This window comes from Homo sapiens, chromosome 17 (assembly GCF_000001405.40).
Source record: "Homo sapiens chromosome 17, GRCh38.p14 Primary Assembly".
Classification (NCBI taxonomy): domain Eukaryota; kingdom Metazoa; phylum Chordata; class Mammalia; order Primates; family Hominidae; genus Homo; species Homo sapiens.
In genome coordinates this window covers 13,073,805-13,078,837 of record NC_000017.11, presented here as the reverse complement: position 1 = coordinate 13,078,837, position 5,033 = coordinate 13,073,805, and positions in this window count along the sequence as shown.

Below are 5,033 nucleotides of genomic sequence, written 5' to 3'. Positions count from 1 at the left end.
GCGAATGCTAACACTGGTGATACCTCACTGACTTCCCTCTAATGTCTTTCTTCTGCTGGACAGCTGCCCCAGGAGCCCACGTGGAGCTGTGAGAAGTGCCTTAAGACTGACCTGGCTTCAAGCTCTAGTCTTCCCACGGTGACAGGAGCGCTTGAGTTGATGCTATCTAAGATCCCTTCCAACTCTGATATTTTACGAGTCTGTGATTCCCTAAGATTTGTAAAACTGACATAGGGTCTTTTATGCACATAAAAAGACACAGAGCCTTTAACTCAACAATTCCACTCTTAGAAATATATCCTAAAAAGATAATCCAACATGTGTGCAAAGCTGTAGGTACAAAAATGTTCGTTGCAGTGTTATTTATGACAGCAAAGAGTTAGGAAACCTTGGTATTCAGCAATAAAAGATTAGTTAACTCAGCATTTCCCAAAGTGTATTCTGTGATATGAATGGGTATTAATAGAAAAGACAAAAAAAAGAAGAACAGGAAGAGATCGTAGCATACCATGGTCATAAATGTTAAAGAAACATCACCATAAACAAAGAATACAGTCAAAAAATTATTTTACTCAGGAACTTCCTTTGCCTTTTATACAGCATATATTAAGCACTCAATAAAATTTGTCAAATGATTGAACAGATGAATGGATATTTGTAGTTGGTAAAAATGCTATTTGCTTCATTTTAAAAAAATTCTTTTTTTTGAGACAGGGTGTGGCTTTAGCGCCCAGGCTGCAGTGCAGTGGCATGATCTCGGCTCACTGCAACCTCCGCCTCCCAGGTTAAAGTGATCTTCCCACCTCAGTCTTCCGAGTAGCTTGGACTACAGGTGCATGCCACCATGTCTGGCTAATTTGTATGTGTGTGTGTGTGTGTGTGTGTGTGTTTTGTAGAGATGAAGTCTCACTTTGTTGCTCAGGCTGGTCATGAACCCCTGAGTTCAAGCAATCCGTCTTCCTTGGCCTTCCAAAATGCTGGGATTACAGGCCTGAGCCACTGCGCCTGGCATGTTTGCTTCATTGTTTTAAGTCATGGAATATGATGTCTCCCAGGATGGTATAGTAATCATTTAAAGAGCATAAAGGGGCCAGGTGCGGTGGCTCACGCCTGTAATCCCAGCACTTTGGGAGGCCGAGGCGGGTAGATCACAAGGTCAGGAGTTCAAGACCAGCCTGGCTAACATGGTGAAACCCCATCTCTACTAAAAATACAAAAATTAGCCGGGTGTGGTGGCATGCACCTGTATTCCCAGCTACTTGGGAGGCTGAGGCAGGAGAATTGCTCGAACCCAGGAGGCAGAGGTTGCAGTGAGCTGAGACTGCGCCACTGCACTCCAGCCTGGCCACAGAGCGAGACTCCATCTCAAAAAAATAAATAAAAATAAATAAAAAGGGCATAAAGGGTAGGAATTAGATTATTATTTCAGACTTTATTTATTTATGGCTTTTTTTCCAGGAAAATATTTTAGGTGGATGAGCAGGATTTACCTTATAAAATTCCTGGAGGTCAAGATATCCTGTCTCTGGCACTTTCTGGATGCAGAACCTCGGCCTGGAGAACAGGCGAGCAGCATAAGATGTTGTTCATGCACCTACTGAACAAGCCTCATCTGTTTTCTATAAAAATGATTAGTTCAGAATGGAAGTGTATATTTGTTTGGAATCCCAGATCTCAGAGTCTTCAGCTAACACCTACTGACACTGCAACTATTCACAGGCAATATGTACATTCTAAATAAGACAAGGGATATTTATATTATTTATGACTCTGAGCCTTTATTCCCAGACTCTTCAGAATCAGATTCCTGGTGAGCTGGGCTGGACCGCATGCGAGTTAAAAAAGGCTTCTTTGTGCTCCTGGCCTTGCTTAATCTAAAAGTATGTTTGTGGCAGAATCAAGAGTTTATAAATGTCTTAACAAACTGGAGCTTAAGACCTAAAGCAAAAAAGTTATTGGCCACAGTAATAATACCTAACATCTATTGAGTTCTTAGGGCATGCCAGCATTGTCCTAAGTGACTTTATATGGATTAACTCATCATTCTTACAGCAATACTACAAGTGTCGAGTACTACTGAGTCAACTGAGTATCACTTTTTTACAGTTGAGAAAAACCGAAGAACAGAGAGGTGAAACGACTTGCCCAAGGTCACACAGCTAATGATAAAACTAGGATTTAGCAGTCTGTGTACAGAATCTACACTCTCAGACATGGCATGATATGGTCTCTTAAATTGCTCCTAGATTATTTAAAACAAATAAACAAATAAAAAACATTGTTCTATTGCAAATTCACAGTATAGATGGGTGACCTTTTAGATAGAGAACTCACCTGATTAGCTACCACCTAGATCACAAAATAGAGCATCAGCCACGGTGCAGAAGCCTGCTGTATAATTACCTCTCCAAAGGTAATCATTCTTTTGACCTTCATCACCATAAGTTAGTTTTGCCTGTTTTTGAACTTTATGTAAGTGGGATTATAACGTGTATGCTGCTTTCAGTCTGTTTTTCTTCTATTCACCATTAAATCTGTAAGGTTTATCCATGTTGTGGAGTGTGTAGCAGTTGCTGGTCCTTCTTCATGTACGTCTCACTGCAGGTTTTTGTGCAACCTGCAAGCTAATAACAGTTTTTATATTTTTTAATAGTCAAAAAAAAACAAAGAAAAAGAATATTTTCTAAAGTGGATTGTATGGAATTCAAATTTCAATATCCATAGATAAAGTTCTAGAAGCACAGCCGTGTTCACTTATGTATCCTCTGTGGCTGCTTTCATTCTTCAAAAGCAGAGATGAGTTGTTGTGACAGAGACTGAATGGCCTGCAAAGTCTAAAAGATTTACCATCTGATCTTTTACAGAAAAAGTTTACCAAACCTACTATGTAGTCTTCCATGGTGTGAATGAATTATAATTTATTAGTTTATTAGTCATTTAGTTGTTGATAGACATTTAGGTTGTTTCCAATGGTAATGGGGGGTGGGGTTATAAGAAACAGTGATGTTATAGGCACCCATGGATATGTCTTTTGGTACACACATACACATTTCTGTTAATATACTGAAATATGGAACTGCTGTGTCTCAGAAGATTCATATGTTTCTCAAAGTGGGTGCACCAATTTACACTGTCAGCAGTAACGCAACTGGCAACTCTGTCATAAATCAGGTGACCAAATATGTGTGAATCTGTTTCTGGACTCTCTACTCCATTGGTCATATTAATAACCTACAGGCTTAATTACTATGGTTTTAGTAGTACATCTAATATGATCCATTGATCATATTAGTAACCCATAGCCTTAGGTACTATAGTTTTAAATACATCTTAAAGTTTAGTACATCTTACTCATCTTTGACGTTGGCTATTCTTAGCTCTGTTTATTTCCATATAAATTTTATTTATTTATTTATTTATGTATTTATTGAGATGGAGTCTCTGTCACCCAAGCTGGAGTGCAGTGGTATGATCTCAGCTCATTGCAGCCTCCGCCTCCCAGGTTCAAGCAATTCTCTGCCTCAGCCTCTCAAGTAACTGGGATTACAGGCATGCACCTCTACATCTGGCTAATTTTTGTCTTTTTAGTACAGATGGAGTTTTGTCGTGTTGCCCAGGCTGGTCTCAAACTCCTGGCCTCAAGTGATCCACCCACCTTGGCCACTCACGCCCGGCCCCATATGTATTGTAGAATCAGCTTGTCAATTTCCACAACTATAAAATCTGCTGGGATGTGACTGGTATTGGATTAAATATATATGAATTTCAAGAAAACAAGATATAACAACTTTGACTCTTTCAGTCCATAAACTTGGCATTTCCTTCCATTTATCATCAGTAACTGTGTGTAGTCTTCTGTGTAGGAGTCTCGAGTATCTTTCATTGGCATTTCCTAGGCATTTGATGTTTTTGATGCTCTTTTGAATGACAACTCTCCATTAATTCTCCAAACTAACAAACAACCTCTGTACACAAAACCCTGAGCACCCACAGAACATCCTTCTGCAAGTCCTCTTTTCATCCCCTCTCTTGTGAGATGCTCTTCTTGCTTTTCCAACTTACCAGGATCCTGATTATATTTGAAATCCAGAAAAAAAAATATATCTCTTACTTGAAATCCTCTCAGGGGCCAGGAGCAGAAGCTCATGTTTGTAATTCCAGCACTTTGGGAGGCTGAAGCATGAGGATTGCTTGAGTCCAGAAGTTTGAAACCAGCCTGGGAAGCATAGGGAGACCTCATCTCTTAAAAAAATTTTTTTTAAGCAGCTGGGCATGGTGGTATGCACCCGTAGTCCCAGGAGGCTGAGGACTGGGAGGCTGAGGTGGGAGAATCACTTGAGCCTAGGAGGTTGAGGCTGAGGCTGCTGTGAGCCACGACCATGCCACTGCACTCCAGCCTGGGCAACAGAGCCAGATGCTGTCTCCAAAAAAGAGGGGAGTGGAGGGGGGTGGGTGGGAGAAATAAATCCTCTCAGACCCTGACATACTTTGGATATTTGTCCCCTCCAAATCTCATGTTGAAATGTGACTTCCACTGTTAGAAATGGGGCCTACTGGAAGTGTTAGATGATGCGGGTGGATCCCTCATGAATGGCTTAGCACAATTCCCTTGGTGATGAGTCAGTTCTTGCTCACTTAGTTCACACAAGATCTGGTTGTTTAAAAGAGCCTGGGACGTCTCCCTTCTCTGTCTTGCCCTCTCTCTTGCCATGTGACAGGCTGGCTCCTCTTCACCTTCTGCCATGATTGGAAGCTTTCTGAAGCCCTCACCAGATACAGGCACTATACTTTGTGTACAGCCTGCAGAACCATGAGCCAATTAAAACTCTCTTCTTTATAAATTATCCAGCCTCAGGTATTCCTTTACAGTAACACAAAATGGACTAATATAGACCCCTACGATCCCACAGTAATGCCTCCAGTTAGTGGTAATTAATATCCTTTTTGCTTATTTGCCAAGTAATGACCCTCTGCTGCTTCACCTCTCTTGGGAGTAAATTGTTAAGGAAGTTTTCAATGTCAATACACGACTT